The sequence below is a fragment of the Homo sapiens genome, chromosome 9 (genome assembly GCF_000001405.40).
Source record: "Homo sapiens chromosome 9, GRCh38.p14 Primary Assembly".
In the NCBI taxonomy this organism is placed as follows: Eukaryota; Metazoa; Chordata; class Mammalia; order Primates; family Hominidae; genus Homo; species Homo sapiens.
Window position 1 is genome coordinate 122,992,326 of NC_000009.12, and position 26,848 is coordinate 123,019,173.

Below are 26,848 nucleotides of genomic sequence, written 5' to 3' on the forward strand. Positions count from 1 at the left end.
ACCATGCCTGGCCTTTTTTTCTTTATTGAAAATATTTATGTAGTTTTGGTCTGTAAATTCTAATTATTAAATAGGAAAGATTAAGATCCCTCAGAAGTATCAGTATAACTTCCCTTCCTTCTGAAATCAGGCATATTCAAGGTAGAATGATCATAAACATCTCTGTTCTATTTGTTAATACTGACAAAGTGCTATTACAGAAAATCCCTGGATGGTCAGATTTGCTTTTCACATTTGTTAGGACTTTGTTCTCCTTTTGCTACATGGCTTTGCTGAATTTCTGGTTTATAATAAATACTGTTATGTTAACTTAAATATATTATTTAAGTATAATGATCAATATACCTAAATATATTAGGTTAATATATATTATTTAGGTATAATAATAATTATATATTATACATATAAATTATGTAATAGTTATATACCTATTATTATATAAAACCTATTATATACTTACTATTATACCTAAATATTTATTTTATCTAAATATTATACCTAAATAATTATTATACCAAAATAATTATTATACCTAAATATATTAGGTTAACACAACAGTACTTTAGATGTATGAAATCCTAGCAAAATATACCTTGGTTTGTCAGATTTAAACTTGTCAAAGGTAGTTCCTCTTATCCAGTAATTCTGTAATATGTATGGAAATTTATCTGCAGAAATAATCATTGAGGTTTTCAAAGAATTATTATTATGAATGTTCTCCAACATACTGTGTATAATATTAATAGCAAATTTTAAAAGTAGAAATTAAGTGTTGAATAGAGTACTAAAACATGTTGGTTTATGGATATTACTTATCCCCTGTCCAACTCATATTTGTGTATAACACAAGATTTACTGTGGTTTTACTTTAACATAAATATAGACAAAGTATGATGAGAATAATTAATGCTCTTCTCATTTCTGAAAAAGTATAATTTTTAAATTATTATTATTATTATTTTGAGACGGAGTTTTTCCTCTTGTCACTCAGGCTGGAGTGCAATGGCGTGATCTTGGCTCATTGCAACCTCCTTCTCCCGGGTTCAAGTGATTCTACTGCTTCAACCTCCCGAGTAGCTGGAATTATAGGTGCCCACCGCCACGCCTGGCTACTTTTTGTACTTTTAGTAGAGACGGGGTTTCACCATGTTGGCCAGGCTGGTCTCGAACTCCTGACCTCAGGTGATCCACCTGCCTCAGCCTCCCAAATTGCTGGGATTACAGGCGTGAGCCACCATGCCTGGCCAATTTTTAAATTATTATGATTAGAAACCTGCTTCTCCATTTTGCCCATGGGAAAACTGAGCATTTGTTTGTTTGTTGTTGAGACAGGGTCTCACACTTTTTTTTCTTTTTGAGACGGAGTCTCGCTCTGTCACCCACGCTGGCGTACAGTGGCGCAGTCTCGGCTCACTGCAACCTCTGCCTCCCAGGTTCAAGTGATTCTCCTGCCTCAGCCTCCTAAGTAGCTGGGATTACAGACATGTGCTGCCACGCCCGGCTAATTTTTGTATTTTCAATAGAGACAGGGTTTTACCATGTTGGCCAGGCTGGTCTCAAACTCCTGACCTCAAATGATCCACCTGCCTCGGCCTCCCATAGTGCTGGGATTCCAAGCATGAGCCACCGTGCCCGACCTAAATTGAGCATTTTCATTCAAAGTACCATTCAAGACACTTCTTTTTTGTTTTACTTAATCCACTAACCGTCCTCATGAGATAAATTGGGTAGTTTATACTGTGCTTATTTATAGGTAAAGCCAGGGAAATTAAGCCTGTACTTCAGTTTCTTATTTTATACAATAGAAATTAAATACTAAATTCCCTACTTGGATACATTCACATGATGTAGTTATTAGACCAGAAATATGATCTAGGACCCTGACATTCAGTGAGGTGAACACCCACTGATTACACTCTCCATTCTGCTTCCTGTTACTGCATCCCTGTAGATTCAGAACACCAGAGACAACTTTCTGTCTATTGTTGTTGTTTTAAACTGCTAAACAATGGGATTATATTTACTTGAGCATCCAAAGAACATAGAGACCAGTGTATCTATTACAAGTTGAAAATTGAGACCCTTCCATTTCCTTATAGGTGAAAACTCTGTCACAAATATTTAACAGTTTGATATGCAAAAATTTTCTTTGAACATTTTTGACATTTTTAGAGTTCTTTGCTAAGATTCTTTGATTTTCTAATGGAAGTATTCAAAAATGTTCTTGAATTAGTATAAATAGTAATAAAGTGCAGAAGGGCTTCAAATTAGTATTTCTTTAGGGCTACCTTTAAGTTTGAGTAGGTGTTCAGAGCTTTTATCTAGCCATTTACGGTAGCTACTAATGGTTCTATTGCCATTATCTTAAAGTTGTACAGAAATAAGATACAATTTAGATTTTTTGCATATTGGCTGATGGCCATGGACAGATGTTTACCTTTGAGAACAGTGAGCTAGAGAAAGTGGTGTGTGGGAGAACAGGGGATTATTTTGTTAAACTGTCATTTTAAGAACTTTGCTGTGGCTCACATCTGTAATCCCAGCACTTGGGGAGGCTGAGGTGGGAGGATTGCTTGAGCCCATGAGTTCGAGACCAGCCTGGGCAACATAGCAAGATCCATCTCTACCAAAAATTTAAAAAATTAGCTAGGCATGGTGGCATGTACCTGTAATCCTAGGTATCCTGGAGGTTGAGGCAGGAAGATAGCTTGAGCCCAGGAGTTTGAGGCTGTAGTGAACTATGAGATTGTGCCACTGTGCTGCAACCTGGGTGACAGATCAAGATCCTGCCTCAAAAAAAGAAAAAGAATATTTTTACCTTTTTAATTAAGCTGATGTTTATTAACCTTATCACTAGTTAGTATTTTATAATTATTACACTGGTTTATAATAAAGTTAACAGTGCTTAAGGGAAGTGTTGGACAACAGCTTATTGGCCATATCTTCCTCATTTCTATTACTTTTTAAAGATACCTTGCTTTGAAACTCAAAAGATCTATGATTAAGTATCTTTTTCTTCATTATATGTTTAAGCAAAGAAGGTGATAATAATCTATCTGTAAAGCCCAGTGATAAATATAAAGGAAAGAATACTTACTTTTTTTGAGTTCTGTATGTCAGATGCCATGAAACATGCTTTACAGCAACAAAAGAGAAAATTAAGGTTATGTTTTAGGGGGCATAGGAGTGATTTTTTTAGCTTTATAAATGCTTTAGTGGTTTACCTGCAAATATCAAATGATTTTTTTTTTTTTTTTTTTTGAGATGTAGTCTCGCTCTGTCACCCATGCTGGAGTGTAGTGGCGCAAACTTGGCTCAGTGCAACCTCTGCCTCCCTGGTTCAAGCGATTCTCCTGCCTCAGCCTCCCGAATAGCTGGGACTGTAGGCATGTGCCATCACACCCAGCTAATTTTTGTATTTTTAACAGAGATGGGGTTTTACCATATTGCTCAGGCTGGTCTCGAACTCCTGACCTCAAGTGATCTACTCACCTCAGTCTCCCAAAGTTCTGGGATTACAGGTGTAAGCCATAGTGCCTAGACTCAAATGATGTTTTCACATCAAGAGGCATAGAATGATTTTTTTCTTTTTTGTTATTATTTGCAAACTAGGCACAGAAAAGAATCAGAGATTTGAGGTCTTTGTTTAAAAAAATGGTTCTAGTATGTGACAAGAAAATGCTTTGCAAAATTAATGAAACATGTTGGTCTACAGTGCAGTTCCCAAAGATAAGGACAGACAGTGCTTTAAACTACGCCAAGGAATTGATAAGAAGATTGTCATCTATGTGCAGCAAACAACTAATAAAGAACTTGCCATTGAAAGGTAAGCATTTTTAGTAAGTTTAGCTTAAATATAAATTTTGGCTTTTATCAATCTAATGGCATAGTTTTACACTGTATTAAAAAATGTATTTCCAAAGAATTTTGTTCCCTAGGAAATTATTTTGTTTACTGAAGTCAGTGCTTCATTACTTTGAAATAGCTACTATAAATAATCAGCTAATACGCTCTCTTCAACTATGTGGTAATAAAAGGCAAACGGAATTAGCTGACCTTGAAGGAAGGATTATTATTTTAGCAACACAAATTTATTGATAACTCTAATGTGTTCTCTTTTCTATCAGCAAGAATTTGTTTTTAAAGTGGCCTAATTTAAACGTTCTTTTGTGTTATCTTTTTTCTTAAATTTATGTCAGTTCTTTTTTTGTAGGTGTTTTGGTCTTCTCCTTAGTCCAGGAAAAGATGTACGAAATAGTGACATGCACTTATTAGATTTGGTAAGAATTTATTTTTATTAGAAAGTTACATACTATTTCCTCAGTAAAGGTTGTTTCACTTTTTCTCATCTGAATCTAGTGTTAAAACATGTTTAAGAAGGTGATCTTGTAAGCTATAAAGACAACATGCAAAGGTAAGATAATTTCCTTTTTCCTGACTAGCTATTTACAAGTCTGACTTTGGATAAGCCTTGGTCTGTTAACTGTGTGGTGGTGATAAAATTCTTGTTTAAATATTTGAGTACAGTTGATGTGATAATCAAAAGAGAAAATTTATTAAAGAATGATTTATAGACTGTCGTGTATCTTACCAATAGTAGGAGTTATTAGTATTATTCCCATTATCTGAAAATCTTTATTTTCAAAACTAAAAATTATAATTCACATGAAAGAAGAATTCAACATTGGATTTAGGTTGTGGATTTTCTTAATGTGTATACAATTTGATATTCGTAAGCATATACATATAACTTCAGGACAGTTGCATAAATAATTGTCACATTTTTTACCATAAATGTAATCATTCACATACACTTATCCTCTTCCATATTCTTATATTTTTGCAGCTTCTGGTTTTTAAAGGCAGCAAGATGGGGGTTAACTGTTGTTCACTCACTGTGGCATTCGGGTTTATTTTTACTCTTTTTTTCTAGGAATCTATGGGCAAAAGTTCAGATGGAAAGTCGTATGTTATTACGGGGAGCTGGAATCCAAAATCCCCACATTTTCAAGTTGTAAATGAAGAAACTCCTAAAGGTGATACAGATTGTTGACATCATGAACAGAAATTTTAGTCTCAAGAAGAGATGCAAAACTAAGGACCCCTTCTTTGACCAATATCCAGTGTTTACCTAATTTTGATGAAACCGAAGAATTTGAATAGTTCTTCACTTTATTATTAAATTTGACCTATAAGCAAAGTATCACTTTTTCCCACTTTTCCATCCTTTTTTTCATTTTTTCCTTCCCCTCTTTCTTTTCTTTCTTTCTATTTATATGCTTATTTACTTACAGACTTATAAGTTTTATTTTTGTACAGAGGTAATCCATGCACATAAATGGTTAAAAATTTCAAAGGATTTATAGGGGGAAGTGAGTCTACCACAGTCCCCAGGGCTCTGTCCCAAAGGAATCACTGTTAGCAGTTTCTTGTGTAGCTCTTCAAATACTCTATGCATAAAGTATCTGGAAGATATTTCATATGCTCTTTGAATGGCATTTAATAGCTGCATATTATCCCATTCTGAAAATGTAATTTGCTTAATAAATGCCTCTTATTGAGCATTTTTCCCCCCTTCAGTTTTTTGTTATTAATAGCACTATAGATAAATAGTTAAAGGATGTAAACAGACCATTCAAATACCATTGTTAACCAAATTTAAAAATTGAGAAGTTTCAGTGTTGATGAGGGTGACATAAAGAAGTCATATGCCACTTGTGCAGAACAATCTGACAGTACAGTGGTGTTTTTGTTTTATTTTTTTTATTTTATTTATTTATTTATTTATTTTTGAGACAGAGTCTTACTCTGTCATCCAGGCTGGAATGCAGTGGCACAATCTTGGCTCACTGCGGCCTGCACCTCCCGGGTTTAAGTGATTCTCCTACCTCAGCCTCCCAAATATCTGGGACTACAGGCATGTGCCAACATACCTGGCTAATTTTTGTATTTTTAGTAGAGACAAGGTTTCACCATGTTGGCCAGGCTGGTCTCATGGGCTCAAGTGATCTGCCTGCCTTGGTCTCCTGATGACAGTACAGTTTTGAAAGCTTTACAGTGTATACTACTGTCAGTTACTTTAAAATAATTCTCAATATGGAATTTGCTTTTGAAACCAGTTATTTGTCTAGTTATTTTACATGTTTAATTGATGGTTCACTTAAGGTATTTTGAAAGTTTATAATAAAAGTAATAGCTTTTATGGAATCTTATGAGCAAATATATTTGTGTTTCTGATTTACCTCTTCAGCCTCTCTCTTTCTTTGTTTAGATAAAGTCCTGTTTATGACCACAGCTGTAGATTTGGTAATAACAGAAGTACAGGAGCCTGTTCGATTTCTCCTGGAGACAAAAGTCCGCGTTTGCTCACCTAATGAAAGATTATTCTGGCCCTTCAGCAAACGTAGTACTACTGAAAATTTCTTTTTGAAACTAAAACAGGTACTGTATTTTTCTATTAATATAGAAGGGGGAATAAGAAAGGAGAAATCACGTCTGAGGCTGATTTCTAAGCCCTCAGATCTTTAAACAGTCATGTGTATTTTAAATATATTAAGAGGAAAAATTATATTTTTCATATTTACCCACCTACTTGTCATTTTTATTGCTCTTCGTTTCTTCCCAAAGATCCACATTTCCATTTGGTCTCATTTACTTTCAACCCGAAGAACAGCATTTCTTTAAGTATAGATCTGCTAAAGATGTATTCTCTTAAACTTCTCTAGATGAAAATGTCTGTTTTTGGCTTTCATCCCAGTAGGGTATTTTCACTGGATAGGATTCTGGTTGCCTTTTTTTTTCTTTCAAGATGTCCTTCCTATTCTTCTGGCTTTCATTTTTATTGTTGTTGTTGTTGTTTGTTTGTTTGTTTTTGAGATGAAGTCTCGCTCTGTCACCACCCAGGCTGGAGTGCAGTGGCGCAATCTTGGCTCACTGCAACCTCCGCCTCCCGGGTTCAAGTGATTTTCCTGCCTCAGCCTCCCGAGTAGCTGGGACTAAAGTGTATGCCAGCATGCCCGGCTAATTTTTTTTTTTTTGTAATTTTAGTAAAGACAGCGTTTCACTCTGTTGGCCAGGCTGGTCTCGGACTCCTCACCTCAGGTCATCCGCCCACCTCAGCCTCCCAAAGTCCTGGGATTACAGACGTGAGCCACCTTGCCCAGCCAGCCCTTCCATTGTTTTTGATGAGAAGTCAGCATTCATTTATGTTATTGTTCCTCTGGGTATAATGTGTCATTTTCTTCTTGCTGCTTTTAAGATTATTCATCTTTGGTTTTCAGATGTTTAACTGTGACATGATTAGGTACGGTTTTCTTTCCGTTTATCCTGCTTGGGATTTGTTGGGGTTCTTGCGTTTTTAAATTTATGCTTTTACTTTTAATTTTTAAATTTTTTTTTTTTTAACCAGATTTGGGGGAAATCTGGCCCATTATTTCTTAAACTTTTTTTCCTGCCCATCTCTCTTCTCTTTGATTCTGGGATTGTAATTATGTATATTTTAGAGCTTTTGATATCTCTGAGGCTCTATTTTTTCCCAGGCTTTTTTCTGTTTTCTTCAGATGGGATACTTTCTATTAATATGTCTTTAAGTTCACTGATTTTTATCAACTTTTAATCTGTTAGAGTCATTCAATGAATTTTAAAAACATTTTCTATATTTTTTGTTTTTAAAATGTCTGTGTGGGTTTTTTTTAATCTCTGTTGTCTCTTGATTTCCTGTTTGTTCTTTTACATTGAGCAGGTTTTCTTTTAAATCCTTAAGCATAATTACAGTACAGCCACTTTAGAATTTTGCCTGCTAATTTTCATGTATGATGATGCACATTTTTGTTTCTTTGTAATTTTGGATTACAAGTTAAACATCTTAAGTGATGCATTGTAGAGACTGTATTCTGTTACTTTCTTCTGAAGAGTCTTGATTTTTTTTTTTCTTAAATCGGGCAGTTAACTTGATCAAAGTTAAACTTCATACTCTGTCTTTTTTGTGGGTGGGTAGCAGCTAAAATCTCTGTTCCAATCTTTTACTCTTTTTTGGCCCCCAGTTGTTCTACCACCTACTGCTTCCATTTTTACTTTCCTTTGTAGCAAAACTCCTTGGAAGATATCAAGGTCACCACTGATTTAAATTGCTAATCTGAGTCCTCATCTTGACCTGTCTGTAGCATTTGCTTTAGATGATTACTTTCTTTTCCTTACTTTCTTTTCCTTAAAGCTCCTCTTTATCTTGGTTCTCAGGACATCTCAAACTTAACATGTCCAAAAAGGTTTATTATCTCATCTCCATCTAATCACTTCTCACCAGCTAGAGTACAATAGTCCTCATCTGAGTCATCATTTATAGCAATAGCCTTTTTTTTTTCTTTTTTAAAATATAGATGGGGATTTGCCATGTTGTCCAGGCTGGTCTTGACCTCCTGGGCTCCAGAAGTCTGCTTACCTCAGCCTCCCAAAGTGCTGGGATTATAAGGCATGAGCCAGCACACCTGGCCTAGCAGTAGCCTCTTTACCCATCATACTGTTTCTGTCTTTGTCCCCTCTTGATTTCTTTTCAACATAATAGTAGCCTAAGGTCAGATCTTATCACTTTTCTGCATAAAACCCTCCAGCCTTGTTTTACTCAATAAAAGCCAAAGTTTTACTCAGTAAAAGCCAAAGTGCTGGGATAACAGGCTTGAGCCACTGTGCCTCACCTTATTTTTTATTTAGTAGAGATCGGGTTTCACTATGTTGGCCAGGCTGGTCTCGAACTCCTGACCTCGTGATCCATCTGCCTCGGCCTCCCAAAGTGCTGGGATTACAGGTGGGAGCCACCGCGCCTGGCCCTATTTTTTTATTTTTTTAACCAGACTTTTACATACTGATAATGCCATGTAACATACTTTTATATTGTTTATTATCTATTTTGTATGTTAGAGTCCTCTACTAAGGAGAGATTCTTAATCTGTCTTATTTGGTGACTTATCCCAAGTACCTGGAACATAGTAGTTCTCAATAAATATACGTTGAATTGATTTTATTTACATGCAACTTCTGTTTTCTGTTACATAAAATGAAAGTGTATGTGGGGCTTACTTGAATATACTTTTCCATATTACATTTTTTTATTTCGATAGCAAGAATTTTGATTCTAGTATACCCAAGTTAGCCCTATTGGGTATATTTAGAAAAAGGAAATAAGCAGAGCAGGCATGGACACTTATTTTCAGTGTTGTCCTAAGAGACAAAGTAAAGCTGAGTCCCAGCACTATTCTCCCAGCTCTTCATTGTAGCAGGAGCAGAGATTAGGGGTCGTCATCTAGAACTTGAATTTGGAGTCAGAGCACATGGATTTTACCGCTAGCTTGTTAACTTTGAGCAAGTTCCCTCAACTCTCTGAGTCTCAGTTTACTAAATTGTAAATTGGCAGCATAATAGAATCTTCCTCATAGTGCTGTTGTGGCATTAAATTAAAAACTATACAACATGCTTAGAATAGTTCCCAGTACATAGTAAGTTCTCCCTACGTATTTGCTGTTATTATTGAGAAGGATTATACAACCTCTCTGGGACACCAAATTAATAAAAAAGCACTAAGTCATGAAATCAGAACAGCATTGATTATTTAGATGGAGGGTGAGCCCCGGGAGAAGAACGCATCAGAAATTAAACTAGTTTACAAACATCACTTTGAAAGTTTAGAGATTAAGAGAGAATGATCTTTAAATGTTTCTAGATGGTCTGTAATCCCAGCCTTTGGGAGGCCGAGGCTGGCGGATCACCTGAGGTTGGGAGTTTGAAACCAGCCTGACCAACATGGAGAAACCCTGTCTCTACTAAAAATACAAAATTAGCCAGGCGTAGTGGCGCATGCCTGTAATCCCAGCTACTTGGGAGGCTGAAACAGGAGAATTGCTTGAACCCGGGAGGTGGAGGTTGCATTGAGCTAAGATCACACCATCGCACTCCAGCCTGGGCAACAAGAGCAAAACTCCGTCAAAAAAAAAAAAAGTTTCTAGATGGTAAATAGAAATTAGTTGTATATATATTTTTATTATATATATATATTTTTTTTTTACTTACTGGCCTGAGAATAGTTATATAATAATTTTCAGTAAAAGTTGTATGTAAAAATAGTTCTGTTTAATTAGCATTCTAACCCTTTAATCTCATTTTAGTGAACATAAATAAGATTCCCCTGATCTTGCATTTCCTTTTGACATCTAATGTTATACAACCTTGGATTCAAAGACTGCATGGGTTTACAAGGTTTTGTGGTTGGGTATAGAAGAATATATCTTTCTATGGAAACAAATTTATTTAATTTTATTTTTAAAAATTTATTTTTTATTTTTAGCAACCATAATCAGAGCTACATGTTAATTCAATGTAAAACTTTTAAAATATTATCATACAGTATGTTATTCAAATAATAACATAACTTCTATTAATAACTTAATTTTTTTTTAGTTAGGCTAAAAAATGACTTGACAGGGTAAACCAGCCAAAAACATACCTGAAATGCAGCCTAAGAGACTGCTCTGGACTCTTTATTAAGGCTACAAACTAAACTTAAGCCGAGTTTTCACTGTTTTCTTTGCAAAAAGCAGAAGTGTGTATGTGGAAGCTCGGGGGAGAGCAGGAAATTCCCGATGATAATCTTTTATTTTTCTCCTTATTTGGATAAGTCTTTGTGTTTGTGCGGGGATTTAGGGGGAGTGCTAGGGAGTGGGAAAGGAGAGGTAGAATGGGAAGAATTTGAACAACTTTTCGCTGTCTTAAAGCATTTAGAACACTGTTAATCTCACCCCTTGTAACTTAATAAACTAAATGTATTCCCTCTTTTACATTCATGGCATTAAAAAGTATTTGAGGTTCAACTGTGACCATCATTGTCTTGGCTACTTCACTTTTTAAAATCTTAGGTAGTTTTCACAGTGATTCAATGAGGATAAATAGTATTTTCACTTTATAGATGAGGAAACTGAGATCCAAAGATATTTAGCAGTAGATTTTATGGGATGTTATATGAACAAAACATATATCTAAGCCTTTTAAAAGTCTCTGCCAGGACACTCTCCAGAGAAACATGCTACTTTTGTCTTTTCATCTATAAGAGTATTTTTAGGATTTACTGAAATTAAGCATAATTTAAAATTTTAACCATTTTCCGTTCTCCTTAGACTGAAAAGGAAACAATGCTACAAAGCAAATTTAAGAATATACAACATACAGCATTTCTGTTTTTTGCTGCCAGTATAGGAAAACAATATGTAAATGCTTTTTAAGACCTGTTTAAAAATTGATTCTTTTTCCTTTCACTAAAATTATCTGGTGACTCAGCAATTCCTTTTATCCTGGAAGCCTTCCCATCTGTGAGACTGTTATATTAAGATAGCATCATAGTAGAGAAGAAACTAAACATTAGTAGGGACAGGAGGATTGCTTTCTTGGACTTAAATTTTCTTATACTACTTACTGAAAGAGCAAGAAAATGAGCTAATGAATAGATTTTCCAATAGTGACATAAGGCGAACAAAAGACCAATTAAACATTCTTATAACTATAGAATAATGTCATTTTTATTGCCAATTAAACTATAGGGGTCTTAAAATCTTTCATAAAATTACTGTTTTATAAATGAAGAAGCTGATATCTGAAAGACTAAGTGGTATGGCCAATGTTGTACAGATAATTAGTATAACTATAACTGGATACCCGGGCCTCTTATTTTAATTTGCTGAGAGTGTATGTGTGTGGTACACACATTCCTCTCAAGATAAAAATATACAAATGCTTTCCATTCCACTGCTGAATTGAGAGGTGTGTGATATTAGGTTGTTCCAGTATTTCTGATGGGAAGTGTGATCACTTAATTAAGGTGGTGACCACTGGATCTCTCCTTTGTAAAATAGGGTTTTTCTTGACACTTAGCAAGTAATCTTTGGGGGTGACGCTTTGGCAACTTCCAAATATCCTGTATCTCAACAACGTCTTTTTTGTTTTTTTTTTCCTTCACTCTGCAGCCCAGCCTGGAGTGCAGTGTCAAAAGCACGGCTCGCTACAGCCTTGACCTCCTGGGCTCAAGTGATCCTCCTACATCAGCCTCCCAAGTAGCTGGGATCAAGGTGCACTACCATGCCTGGCTAATTTTTTAATTTTTTGGAGAGACGGAGTTTCACCATGTTGCCCAGGCTGGTCTCAAACTGGAGTTCAAATGATACTCCCACCTCAGCCTCCCAAAGTGCTGAGATTATAGGCATGAGCCACTATGCCCAGCCAATAACTAATTAACTAATATTTTTAGTATCTGTTGGTGATATTTACCTGATTCAGTTGAGTTCATTCACGTATTTTCAGTAATAATTTGACATTACAGGATTTTCTTTTTAAAATATTTATATGCATATATTTTATTTACAGTAACAGTAAATAATTTATTTGCCTTATCTTCATCAAAATCTAAAAAAGTCAGCCAGGCACGGTGGCTTATGCCTGTAATCCCAGCACTTTGGGAGGCCGAGGCAGATGGATCACCTGAGGTCAGGAGTTCAAGACCAGCCTGACCAACATGGCGAAACCCTGTCTCTATTAAAAATACAAAATTAGCTGGGTGTGGTGGTGCACATCCGTAATCCCAGCTACTCGGGAGGCCGAGGCAGGAGAATCACTTGAACCTGGGAGGTAGAAGTTGCAGTGAGCCGAGATCGCGCCATTGCACTCCAGCCTGGGCAACAAGAGTGAAACTCCATCTCAAAAAAAAAAAAAAAAAAAAACTAAAAAAGTCTTGCAGTTAATAATAGAATTATTGGGTGAAATTTAAGATTTTATGGAACTTCTTTTTGTCCTTTGAATATGTTTCAGTAAGATTATAAAATGGTTGCTGTTTAAAAATCACTGGGAATAATTTTTTATTGTGGTTCTGTTACCGTTTGACATATAGTTAGGTTCATTTGTTTCCATTTATTTTAGCTTAGGGGCTTGGGATTTTTTTTTTTCCTTTTTTTTTTGAATATATAAAATACTTATAAATGTCATAATTATGTAGAAATGTATACTCGGAAGTCCGCTTCCATTTGTATCTCCTTACCCCCATACCCATAGATAACAATTATTATTGGTTTATGGTTTATTATCCTGATTTCATTTTTGTGAAGATAAAATTCTGTATATTTTTAACTTCCTTCTGAAATAAAAATTAGCATACTCCATATGTCTTATCCTATACATTGCTTTTTAAACTTAATATATCCTGGGGATCATTCCACATCAGTGCATAGAGATTTCCTCATTTCCGTTTTAATGGCTATTTAGTACTGTCCTATTTGGATGAACTATGGGCTTTTCAACCAGTCTGCTATTGATGGACACTTGGACTGGTTTCCAGTCGTTTGCTGTTCCAAATAATGTTGCAGTGTGGAATCTTATGTATGTGTTATTTTGATTTTATGAAAGTGCATCTTAGAATAGACTCCTATTAGTATAATCACTGACACATAAGGTGAACGTACATATGCTATTGTTATATTTGCCAAATTCCCTTCTGTAGAAGGTGTAACCATGGACAGGGTATGAGAATACCTGTTTCTCTGCAGGGTTGTCGAGTGTGTTGTCAGACTTAAGGATCTGTGAGGCAGTGGTGTCTAAGAATAGTTTTAGTTTATCCTCTGCCTTTTTAATGTATAAGGGTGACTTTTCTGTGAATTTTCTATTCATATCTTTTGCTTATTTTTCTCTTTGACTTTGGTCTTTTTCGTCTTTATTTTCAGAACCTCTTTGTATATTCAAGAGAGATTAACCCTTGGAGATATGATAGTCCTCCCAGTTTGTCACTTATCTTTTAGCTTACATCATGGTGATTCTTTTTGGGTTTGTCATGCAGTTTCTTCTTATGTACTTGAATATATCAGTATTTTCTTTTAAACCTCTCTGGATTTGAGATCATAGTTAGAAAGGCTTTCCTAACTCCCAAGTTACAAAAAGAATACACTCTTCTGTTACTCTCCTGTTACTTATATGGTTTCATTTTACTCTTTTAGATTTCTGATTCATTAGTATTTTATTCCTGTGTACTCTGGTATATAGCGTAAAGTGTGGATTTGATTTAATCTTTTTCCAAATGGCTATTCTCTTGTCCCAACACCATTCATTAAAAACTATTAACTTTTCTACCCAGTGATTTGAAATGCTACACTTATCATATATGAAATTTCCCTGTGTGTTTGAACCTCTTTCTGGTATTTATATTCTGTTCCTCTGGTCTTGCATTAGAATCACACGGTTGTAATTATGTAGACTTTATTTTTATTTATTTATTTATTTTGAGATGGGGTCTCACTCTGTCAACCCAGGCTAGAGTGCAATGGTGCGATCTTGGCTCACTGCAGCCTCCACCTCCCTGGTTCAAGCAATTCTCCCACCTCAGCTTCCCGAGTAGCTGGGATTACAGGGTTGCACCACCACGCCTGGCTAATTTTTTGCATTTTAAATAGAGACGAGGTTTTACCATGTTGGTTAGGGTAGTCTCGAACTCCTGACCTCAGGTGATCCACCCGCCTCAGCCTCCTAAACTACTGGGATTACAGGCGTGAGCCACTGCACCTGACAATGTGTAGACTTTATAATATGTTTTTATATCTGGTAGGTCTACCTTCCCTCCTCAAATACTCCTTTTTGTGGGTTTTCCTGGATTTTTTTACTTGTTTATTTTTCATATAAACTTTATGTTCAACTTGTGTAGCTCTGGAAAAAAAAAACTACTGGTGTTTTTCATTTGTTTGTGGGTTTATTTTTTATTTTTTTTAGACAGAGTCTCACTATGGAGTGCAGTGGCATGATCCTGGCTCACTGCAACCTCCACCTCCCAGGTTCAAGTGATTCTCCTGCCTCAGCCTCCAGAGTAGCTGGGATTACAGGCATGTGCTGCCAGGCCCAGCTAATTTTTTGTATTTTTAGTACAGATGGGCTTTCATCATGTTGGCCAGGCTAGTCTTGAACTCCTGGCCTCAAGTAATCTACTTGCCTAGGCCTCCCAAATTGCTGGGATTATAGGCGTGAGCTACTGAGCCTGGCTTTTTTTTTTTTTTTTTTTTCCAAGACAGAGTCTTGCTCTATTACATAGGCTGGAGTACAGTGGAACGATCTCAGCTCACTGCAGCCTCTGCCTCCCGGGCCCAAGTGATCCTCCTGTCTCAGCCTCCTGAGTAGCTGGGACCACAGATGCGCACCACCACACCTGGCTAAGTTTTTGTATTTTTTTTTTTTTTTTTTTTTTAAGAAAGAGATGGGCTTTTGCCTTTGTTGCTCAGGCTGATCTCAAACACCTGGGCTCAGGTGATCTGCCCACCTTAGTCTCCCAAAATGCGCAACCTCCCAAAGTATTGGGATTACAGGCATGAGCCATCATGCCTGGCCACTGCTGATGTTTTTATTGGGGAAAATTGACATCTTTATGATGTTGAGTCATCTTATCCAGGAACATGGGATGTCTTTCCATTTATTCAAGTCTACCCTTTTTTGTCTCATCTGACTGCTTTTAATTATTTTATATGTTTATAACATATATTTCATAAATATAATATATCTAATTTAAAAACCTGTTTAAATTTTATATATAATTTAAAACCTATGTTTAAATTTTATATATAATTTAAAACCTATGTTTAAATTATATGTATAATTTAATATATAAAAGTTTTATATTTAACATATATAATTCAAAAAGCTTTTTACTATGGAAAATTCAAACATATGCAGAAATTGTAAAATAGTATAACGAATCCCCATGTACTATTACCCAGCTTCAACAATTAACATTTTTCATAGTTAGAGTCCTTGGCTTACAAGTTTGGTCCAGTAATTGACTGTATTTATCTGACTTCAAAAGGCAGCGTGTCCTTTGGTCATTATGACATACAGAAGAGTTTCTAAGTGGACCACGTTGGTTTGTTTATTTTTAAGATAAAGAGCTATTGCTGGCCGGGCACGGTGGCTCATGTCTGTAATCCCAACACTTTGGGAGGCCAAGGCAGGTAAATCGTGAGACCAGCCTGGCCAACATGGTGAAACCCCGTCTCCACTAAAAATACAAAAAATTAGCTGGGCATAGTGGCGGGCTCCTGTAATCCCAGCTATTCGGGAGGCTGAGACAGGAGAATCGCTTGAACCCAGGAAGCAGAGGTTGCAGTGAGCCGAGATCATGCCATTGCACTCCAGCCCTGGCGACAGAGGGAGACTCCATCTCAAAAAAAAAAAAAAAAAAGAGCTATTGCTGATCTTTGAACTGTTTAGGATACCAATTGTCTGATGTTTCAAAGAGCAATTTATAACAAAACAAAAATTTTAAATTCTCTTTCTTATTAAAGTATAATTTTCAAGAGTTAAAAATCATAATTATCAATTTAGAATGAACATGTATCAAATATTCTAATTCAGTGTATTAATTAATGAGAGAACCAGAAAGGTAGCAAAACTCTGAGTACTTGTGGAACTTGGATTTACATGGTCCTTCCTTTCAAAAAAAAGAATGTTACAAAAAGATTACTAGATTAGAAATAAAACTGGTTAATGTCCTTTAGGTAACTTTTGGGTTATATTTTCTCTTGGACAGAAATCATTTGCATATCTCCTGGACACAAATCTATAGGTTAACATGTAACTTCAGAGTCTGAGTCCTTAATTAATAGTAAGTAGCTAAGTCAAAATGGCATATTCATCTAGAAAATTAAGTAATCCTTGGGTGGACATGTTAAACCAAAGTTGACAGACAGGCCTGTAGGTCAAACCTGGCCTGTCACTTGTTTTTGTAAATAAAGTTCTATTGGAACACAGCCAAACTCACTCATTTATTGCCTGGCTGCTTTTGCACTATAACAGCAGAGTTGTGTAGTTGTAATAGAGACAACTGGCCCATATAGCCTAAAATGTTTACTATTTGGCTCTTTACAGAAAAGTTTACTGACTTCTGTATTAAACAGTGCTTCAAGATGATATTGAAAGAGCATGTTGCCACTATCGTGGCCTTACTTCCATGATAGGGTTAATTTATTTTAAGAACCCAAATGAACATTGCAATGATAAAAATCTGCTCTGGCTGATATTTCTATAGCTCATGAACATCTTATTCCCCCATCTCCCTTTCTGTGTTTTTACTTTGGTATGTGTGTATATATATATTTTTGTATAGCCACCTTTCTAGTTTTCTCTGTACCTTTTCCTATAGCTCTCCCTTTTTATTCTTCCCTATATTTCATGCTACCTTCCTTATATGGAAGGAAGAATGTTAGTATACTTACTTACATGTAATATGGAATGTTAATGTACTTATAATGTGTATTGTAGTGTAAAGTTTTATATTCCTGGTTTAAATTTTTAATTTAGGTCAGTTTAAATTATATGTTTGCCTCAAAATAAAACTAAAATACAATCAGTTGGAGTAATCAACATTTTTGTGGTTACTGTTGATGTGTTCTCTGCCATTCACCTCCCCCTGACCCCACCCCAACTCCAAGTTGTAGCTTTCAGTTGAAGAAAAAGTTCTCTACACTGTTTTAAGCAAAAGGAGTGGGGATAAAACACTGGAACATTATTAGAAGTAAGAATTTTCTTAGTCTTGAAGTTTATGTTTTAGAGTAATTTAAAACACTTTTTCTGTGTAGTTTTATATAGGAAACCTTGAAGGATGCCTTCACTAATTTGGGAGATACAGAACTGTTAGCTCTTTAGTTGACACTGGTTAAACATTGGTAGTTGGATACTTGACAATATGGTTTGAAGACAAACCAATATGGTTTGAAGCAGAACTAGAGTACTGCTTAGTAAATGCCCAATTTTCCTAAGAATTTTAAGATCTAAACATATGCTTTTCTGTTTTAAAAAGTTACTTCTAATGTAGATACTCAAAAAAACATCATTTATTTTCACATCCTGTATGAAATCAGAAGTGATTGCAGTGAGCCGAGATCACTGCAATTAAAAACATTAAAAACACTGCAATTAATTAAAAACATAAAGAACTTTACTGCTTAATAAATAATATTTTTTCATCTTCAAGATAAAGCAAAGGGAGAGAAAGAATAATACTGACACTTTATATGAAGTTGTATGCTTGGAAAGTGAATCAGAAAGAGAGAGGAGGAAAACTACAGCCAGTCCTTCAGTTCGCCTGCCACAGTCTGGATCGCAAAGTTCAGTGATACCTTCTCCTCCAGAAGATGATGAAGAGGAAGGTAAACTGTAGGGATAGCTTAATTTATTTTTGGGGGTGGAAGACCATGCAAACTATTAAAATCGTATCAGGGGATTGATAATGTGATACGGCATTTATAATTCATTTAATGAATTCCTTATGAGAGTTTACTATATGTAAGTAGCTGTGGGAGATTTAAAAATGATTAACATTGAGTTTTCTTTAAGATACTTGTAACCCAGTTGGAAAAATGAGATTTATAATTAGCTCCTTTTAAACAATCAGTGTAGTGCTAGCTTGGTATATTAGCACATTTTTTTTTAGAACAAGTTTGACACAGCTTACACCTAAAGAAATGTTCCTATCTCAACACATTCATTTTGCAGGAACAAATTCACTGTGCCAAAATGTGGCTTGCACACATGACCCTTTTTACCAAATATATTTATAAATATATACGTTTATATATTACTATGTTTTACACTGATAAACGTTAAGAATCCACTGGTTCTTTGTTTCTTTTTTTTTTTTCTGGCTAAATCTATTGAATTAATCTGTCATTCTCTATTAAAAGATATAATTACCTTTTAATGAGGCATGAAGGAAGGGAGCCACAGGAAACATGAATGAGAGTCGTTTTCTAATTTCTAACTTACTACCAGGGCTTCGAATTTAATGGAAGAAAACCTGATTACAATATAAGATCATGTGAGCCATGCATCTATATGTGAAGCTCACAGGAAATGTTCTGGAAATTCATAGAGGAGAATTCGGTTTTCATTGTGGGGAATGTTGTGGGGCATCATAAAGAGTAGTTTTTCAGTTGGGACTTTTAAGTGCAAGGAGAATCTAGTAGTCATCAGTGGAGTTCCTTGGAATTTCTAGTTAAGAAGTTGCATTAACAAAAGCATGGGGATGGCAAGAATGATTGATTTGGTTAAATGAAACGTATCCATGTACTTTCTTCAAGTTTAGAGTGAGCACTGACTTTCTTCATGTTTAGAGTGAGCACTGAGTTTCCAATACCTACTGTTTGCTATAACTCCCATTGCCCTTATGATTAATCAATTTAGCATCATTTATTAGTAATACTAATGGCCACTAATTACTGTGCTTAATATAATCCTCATAATAATCCTGAAAAATAGGATTTATTGTTAACCTAACTTTGCACATAAATGGAATCTGGCCAGGCACGGTGGCTCATGGCTGTAATCCCAGCATGGGAGGCTGAGGTGGGAGGATCACTTGAAGTCAGGAGTTCGAGACTAGTCTGGCCAACATGGTGAAACCCTGTCTCTACTAAATACAAAAAAATTAGCTGGGTGTGATGGCGCATGCCTGTAATCCTAGCTACTTGGGAGGCTGAGGCAGGAGAGTTGATTGTACCCAGGAGGTGGAGGTTGCAGTGAGCCAAGGCTGCGCCATTTGCACTCCAGCCTGGGCAACAAGAGCAAAACTCTGTCTCAACAACAACAACAACAACAACAAAAAGAAATGGAATCTCAGAAAAGTGAATTTGCCCAAGGTTACACAGCTAGAAATTGGCAGAGTCAGGATTTGGATCTAGGTCTGTGAATCCACAGTCATAGCTGTAGTCTATCATCATCTCTTGCATTTAGTTCACATAAAGCATTTTGAAGTATGGAAAAAGCATATGTATTGTTTTTGATGTCAGAGATGCAATTCAGAGTCCCCCTGGAGAGCCAATTTAAGTCATATGTTATATCTGGGAAAGGTGGATTGTTCCCACTGTTTGAAATTGTCTGTTGTGTAACAGTCTTGATTGAGGTTTGCAGTTTCTCTTCTAGGTCAACACTGGTTAAGATGACAGAGTGGGTAAAAGTTTACATAACTTTCCTCTCTTAACACTCAGCGATAAAAATAAAACAAAACAAACACAAAAATTGAGAAAGACACTATTATGAAACCAGAGAATGCTCAAATCTTCATACCATAGATTTTGAGGAATATCTGCTGGTTACAAAGAAATCTGGGCCCGACTAAAGGTTCCTCAGGACTGGCATCAAGTTTTAATTTATAGCAGACATACCTTTTTTAAAAATAAAATTTTAGGGGGTTCAGAAGGCCTCTACTGATAGTTCTTAACTAGGGAGAGATAAGGACTAATGGCAGTGTGTACCCCTTGGGGGAAATCATGGAACACTAGAACATAAGCTCTGTGAAGGAAAAGAGTGTCTGCTTTTGCCTCATGTTGTTCCCTAGCGTATACCACAACATCTGATATGTAGTTGGTGCTCAGTAAATATTGGCAGTATGGGTAACCCCCTAGAATTCATTTTTATAGTGAAGAGTTAATAACAGGAGAACTGGGACTAAAGAAAACTGTGTAGCCATGCTATCTTTTAATTCTCCCTAACGCAGTGTACAAACCAGAGAAACCATTCCTGCTGTGATTGTTTGCTTCCAGGGAAGAAATGATTACATTTCTCTCGAGAGGCTTCTTACCCATAAGACATTTGGCAGAAACCCAGAAATTATAAAGGGGACATGTTTAGAAGCATCATTCTGAAACTGAGATGCTTGTCCTACCCCACCTTAGGCAGATGGGTTCTTAACACAGATTTTAAACTACTACTACCCAGATTTATTGAAAGTATCCAAAATGTGAAAGAGAATTTTGTAAGAAAAGTTTTTCTAATATTTTTGAAGAAATTACCATCCCTTCTAAATTTTAGTACATTTTTCATAGCCACCTTTCCCCAAAGAGTTGTATTTGGTATATTGGTGTTTTAATAAATAGAAAATTACTTGAGAGATTAGAAAGTAGGGCCAGTCTTGCAAGGTAGTGAAGCTGGGGACATTTACCTTAGTGCCCTTGAGCCTTTCTTTTTTTTTTTGAGATGGAGTCTCGCTGTGTCACCCAGACAGGAGTACAATGGCACAATTTCGGCTCACTGCACCCTCCGCCTCCTGGGTTCAAGTGATTCTCCTGCCTCAGCCTCCTGAGTAGCTGGGATTACAGGTGCCCACACCACACCTAGCTAATTTTTGTATGTTTTAGTAGAGATGGGGTTTCACCAGGTTGGCCAAGGCTTGTCTCGAACTCCTGACCTCAGATGATCCACCCACTTTGGCCTCCCAAAGTGCTGGGATTACAGGTGTGAGCCACCGTGCCGGGCCTAGCCTTTTCTCTTCTTTACCTTATTCATCCATATATAGAAGATCTCTCACATTCTATCATCTTCTGTGTCTCACCAGCAAAACTGATGATAATGTCCAAAGCATTATAATATAAAAACGTTCAATAAGAAGTATCACAGATTTCTGAGTCTTTAAAATTAGTGCTTTCAGATGATTGCTGTCTCTGTTGGAGATGCAGATTCAACATGTAGTCATTAGAGGTGTAAAGATCCAAACTTTGTTTAGGCAAGTTAAGCTAAAAAATAAAAACAAACAAAATCTAGAAAGAGCATTGGTAAAGATCCATGGAAACAAGTACTGTTGTAACCCAGTTAGTGGAACTGTAAATTGGTAGAACATTTTGGAAGTCAGTTTGTCGGAAATTTTCAGTATTCTTAAAAATATGCATTCTTTTTAAAACTGAGAAAGTCAGTTTCTGGACATAAACCCGATGAAAGCAATGAGATATATTCATCCTGATTCCGTTTGTAGCAAAAAGTTAAAAACTCTCTGAGTGTCAAGCAAGAGGATTAAGTAGATATCTTAGTCCATGTTTATTCTCTGCTTTTATTATGCTTTTTAGTTCCTCTCATGCCTTGATCAGTGCCACTTATTTCACTGTCTTCATATCTTATAATCTCTAACTTCTGACTTGAATTTACTTTCCTTAATTGAATTAAATTAGAAACGATTTAATTTGGCCTTTTAAAGTATGTTTGTGTTTTCTTTTATAAATTAATATTTCCCATTTTAGAAAATTTAGAAAGTCATAAAAACATAAAAGAGCAGAGAAAAATACCAATCATAACTTCATCACTCAGAGGGAGCAATTGTTAGTGTTTGGTATAGTTTATACCTATCTGTTTTCTATTTTATAACATAGATTAGATCATAATGAATATTAAGCTCTTTGTATTTTCATTTTATACCGTATTTTGCCGTATCATTTGTATTAGTCTGTTCTCATACTGCTAATAAAGACATACCCGACCGAGACTGAGTAATTTATAAAGAAAAGAGGTTTAATTTTTTTTTTTTTTTTTTTTTGAGACGGAGTCTTGGTCTGTTGCCCATGCTGGAGTTCTGTGGTGCGATCTTGGCTCACTGCAAAATTTATAAAGAAAAGAGGCTTAATTAATTCACAGTTCTGCAGGGCTGGGGAGACCTCAGGAAACTTAGAATCATGGCAGAAGGGGAAGCAAACATGTCCTTCTTCACATGGCAGCAGGAAAGAGAAGAATGAGTGCCAGCAGGGGAAATGCCAGATGCTTATAAAACCATCAGATCTCATGAGAACTCACTGTCATGAGAACAGCATGGGGGAAACCGCCCCCATGATTCAGTTACCTCCCTTCGGGTCCTTCCCATGACACGTGGGATTATGGGAACTACAATTCAAGATGAGATTTGGGTGGGGACACAGAGCCAAACCATATCATTATTATATAAACATAAATGTCAACATGCAATTGCATTATATACATATATTATAATTTCTTCAACCATTCTCTACTCCTATTGTTGGACAGTTAGGTAGTTTGAAATTTTTTAAGTGTTTTAAATAAGACATATATTTTCATGCATAAAGCTGTTTGCTTTGGAAAATGAGAGAAAATACCATATTTTGAATCCTATAGTTTTATAATTAAATAGCTCCTTTTTTTTTTTTTTTTTTTGCAATTGACATAATTATGGACCTATGTGGAAAACAAAAGAGAATTAAAGAGGTTACAGCATTTTACCTAGAACTATTTTTATTTTCTTTGTACCTATCCATAAATACTAAAAGAGAGAAATTATGACTTTATGCTCCCAGTAAAGTCTTTCAAATTTGACTCTTAACATTCCAGTGTTCTTCTGGCTAGCATAGCCATCTCTGTTACCGTTTTTGTGTGTTTTGTTTATTATAGATAATGATGAACCTCTCCTGAGTGGATCTGGTGATGTATCCAAAGAATGTGCAGAAAAAATTCTTGAAACATGGGGAGAACTGTTGTCAAAATGGTAAGTTATGATAGAATAGTTTTTTTTATCTGCAATTTTCATTTTATGGGTAGAGAATCTTACCTAACTATAATCAATTTTGGAACCAGTAGTAGAAACCTAAGCGCAATGTTTGCATTCTGTGATCTATTTTAGGGATTTATATGAGTAAAAGTAGAGAATTGAAATCAATTTTCAGAATATCAGGAACCTAATAAATTCTCATTGCTGGAGAAAATATTTATCCAAATGTGGAATTCATGTACAGAATAAATAAGAAAAGTATCTTTTATGTTGAAGAGGTTAGGAACCACTGAGTGGTTCAGATAATACACAACAGTCAGTTTAGAGGGTGTTCACACAATGCATAGAGCCATGGTAGAGACCCCAGGTAGGATTTTTCCCTTATCTGTGATAAGTATCTAGAATGACAGAGCAAAGTGTCATAAGCATGGTATATATTACCTGCTCTATCGATTACTATCTCTTATAAAATTCCTACTAACACTTACAAATTTTAGGAATTTCTCATCAGCTCAAGAGATGGTTTGACAGCAGTGTTAAGAAGCACTATCCTATAGGCTATCTAAAAAGAATACATTGCCTTCAGGATGGGTGTAGTGGTTCATGCCTGTAATCTCAGCATTTTGGGAGGTCAAGGCAGGAGGATTGCTTGAGCCCAGGAATTCAAGACCAGCCTGGACAACTTGGTGAAACCCCATCTCTACAAAAATTGAAAAAGTTAACTGGGCGTGGTGACGCACACCTGTGGTTCCAGCTACTCTGGAGGCTGAGGCAGGAGGATCGCTTGAGCATAGGAGTTTGAGGCTGCAGTGAGCCTTGATTGCACCACTGCACTCCAGCCTGGGTGACAGAGTTGAGACCCTTTCTCCAAAAAACAAAAAAGAAAAAATACCAAACAAAAAGAATACATTGCCTTTAGGTATTTAACATGACCACAGATATTCTGGTAAGTCAGGTTGGTGAGACATTTATGCAGTTTCCTTTTCTCCTTGAATAGGATGCCAGTATATGCTGAAAAAAGCTGAGCTTGGAAGTGATCTGAACACTTCTCTATTTCTGACATTCTGGTTACTAGGGTTGTCAAATAAACTCCCTATTGGCCTGTTACTTTGGGGTTTGATTTTTCTCAGACATTTTAACTGTTGAAGTATTTCACTGCATTGTTAGAATAAAGCTGTGTCTCAGAATTTTAAAGCATTGTGTCATGCCCTTAAGGGATAGGACTACAAATGGGCATTATCTGCTTTTATATTACTCTCACAATGCTTTACACTTTTGACAAAACACTCTCCACACTGGAAAATGTCAAATGTGTACAGGAGAAAAAAGCAAACCAAAGCACGATTTGTCTTTACACAAGTTGTTTTAATAAATGAACTCTGCAAAAAAACCAGAGTAATAGTTTTCTTATATTTTTGGTATTTCTTTACATCAGGAGACAAAACTTCTGGTGCTCTTGTCACAATAATATTTTCAGTTCATTGAGTTTGGAGTGTTTGGGATGCTGCTGGCAGGAATTTTATCTGTATAAAAAGGTTTCTGCTCTAAAACAGAAACATAATTGAGTTTTGACATGGTTACATAATATATTTAAAATCATGTAGATATAGCATTAAGACTCTAGTTAGATTTTATTACACGAACCCATCAGCATCTTATACAACTTGGAATTCGTTTTGTTATCAAGCTTTGTTATTCATTTAATTAACATGTCTTCCTATTCCCTCAAATGTATTTATTGAGTTTCCATCTGTGTCTGCCATCTTTCAGGGTATTTAAACTATTTTTGCTTGCTTTAGTCATGTCTTCAGATATAATAGTGTCTCTTCTTTAGTTCATTACATCATTATTTTTTCTCATTATTATTTGTGTTCTATGGATATGTGTTCTATGGGTAAGAAGCATTGTAATAATGGAATTTTAAAGCCTGGTAGACCTGGTTTCAAATTCTACCTCTCCTACTTTTAAGCTGTGTGGTCTTAGACAAGTCACTTAACTCTTTTGAGTCTGTTTCTTCATTTAGAAAATAGAAGTCTATAAAATTACCATTTGTAATTATTATAGATTAAAAATAATGGATGCCATGGTTGTAGTTATAGTAACATAGAACTAATGAATTTACCATATTTTAGGCACTGTGCTGTTATGTGCTCTGTGTCAACTCTAACAACCTTATAAAGTATTTGTTTTTTACAGATGAGACTGGTGCATAGGTTAAGGCATTCTAGTTAGTAAATGTCACAACCAGAATTTTTAACACAGTCACGGCTGATCCCAAGGCTGGTTTATTTAACTCTATATTAGATTTTAGTGGTAGTATTAATAGTATCTTTGAGCTCTAATTCTCCAAGTTCATTTTTTTTGTTTGTTTTTTGAGACGGAGTCTCGCTGTCGCCCAGGCTGGAGTGCAGTGGCGCGATCTCGGCTCACTGCAGGCTCTGCCCCCCGGGGTTCATGCCATTCTCCTGCCTCAGCCTCCTGAGTAGCTGGGACTACAGGTGCCCGCCACCTCGTCCGGCTAATTTTTTGTATTTTTAGTAGAGACAGGGTTTCACCGTGTTAGCCAGGATGGTCCTGATCTCCTGACCTCGTGACAAGTTCATTTTAATATGACTGTTAATGGATAAGAGAACTAATGTCAGTATAAAATAGGTTGCTAAGTTGGATAAAGTTAATATTATCAATGAGATGAAATTATTCTGAAAGTAATTTTATCAATGTAAATTAAGCTAGTAAGGTTAGCAGGCTTTGTCTGTAAAGAGCCAAATAATAAATATTTTAGGTTTTGCAGGCTAATAGTCTGTCACAGCTACTCAGTTCTACTATTGTAATGCAGAAGCTATCATACACAATACTTAGACAAATAAGCATGACTGTGTTTCAGTAAAAGTTTATTTATGAGAACAGGTGATAGTTAGGCCCAGTGTGGCCCACAGGCTATAGCATACCAGGGATTGGGTTAGCAGCAGAACTATGTCTGTTCTTTCTGCTCATAACTTTTCAACTTTTACATAATGTTTTTATCTAAACAAGGAGAAAACTATTGAACTGTCCATAGCACTTGCATTAGGGCACCAGTGTCACAGAATAAATCACTTTTAAATGTGCTGTGCAGAATTCTTATAGGATTCTGTGAACATTTTGAGAAAAATCACAGGCCTTTTTATAATTTGATAGTGGTTATTTTGTATCAGTAACTTCTGCTTACGTCTGATAGCCACAGCATCTTCTTAATGTCAGGATCCTGTTTTATTGACTCAGTAATGGTGGCTCTCAAGTCACAAACCAGCTGCTCTATAACAGAGCATTCATTAGTCTTAAGAATTTGAGGACTACCTCAGTCATTTAATTGACTTCCCTGAAATTTTTTCTGCATCTGTAAAACTAGAGGTACTACCATCTACCTCAGATGGTTGTTCTGAAGGTCAAATAAGATACTGTATGCAGAAGCACATTGTACATTTATACCAACATTTCAAGGCTAGTTTAATTTTCCCCATTTTATAGGTGACATAAATGAAGTCCAAAGATTTC

The 26,848-nt window shown here is 35.8% G+C and overlaps 1 protein-coding gene across 16 annotated transcripts in view; it reads left to right on the forward strand.

Moving 5' to 3' along the window:
• The window catches only part of RABGAP1 (RAB GTPase activating protein 1), a 173,196-nt gene that overhangs the window by 60,655 nt on the left and 85,693 nt on the right, over positions 1–26,848 (forward strand). For all 16 annotated transcript variants that reach the window (XR_007061269.1, XM_047423130.1, XM_017014567.3 and 13 more), the window contains 6 exons: positions 3,716–3,826; positions 4,214–4,280; positions 4,934–5,036; positions 6,272–6,441; positions 18,029–18,203; positions 23,218–23,311. Coding sequence is in view for 15 of the 16 variants with exons in the window: in XM_047423130.1 (XP_047279086.1) it covers positions 3,716–3,826; positions 4,214–4,280; positions 4,934–5,036; positions 6,272–6,441; positions 18,029–18,203; positions 23,218–23,311 (720 nt within the window). In the remaining variant the exon portion in view is untranslated. The remainder of the gene's footprint in view (positions 1–3,715; positions 3,827–4,213; positions 4,281–4,933; positions 5,037–6,271; positions 6,442–18,028; positions 18,204–23,217; positions 23,312–26,848) is intronic.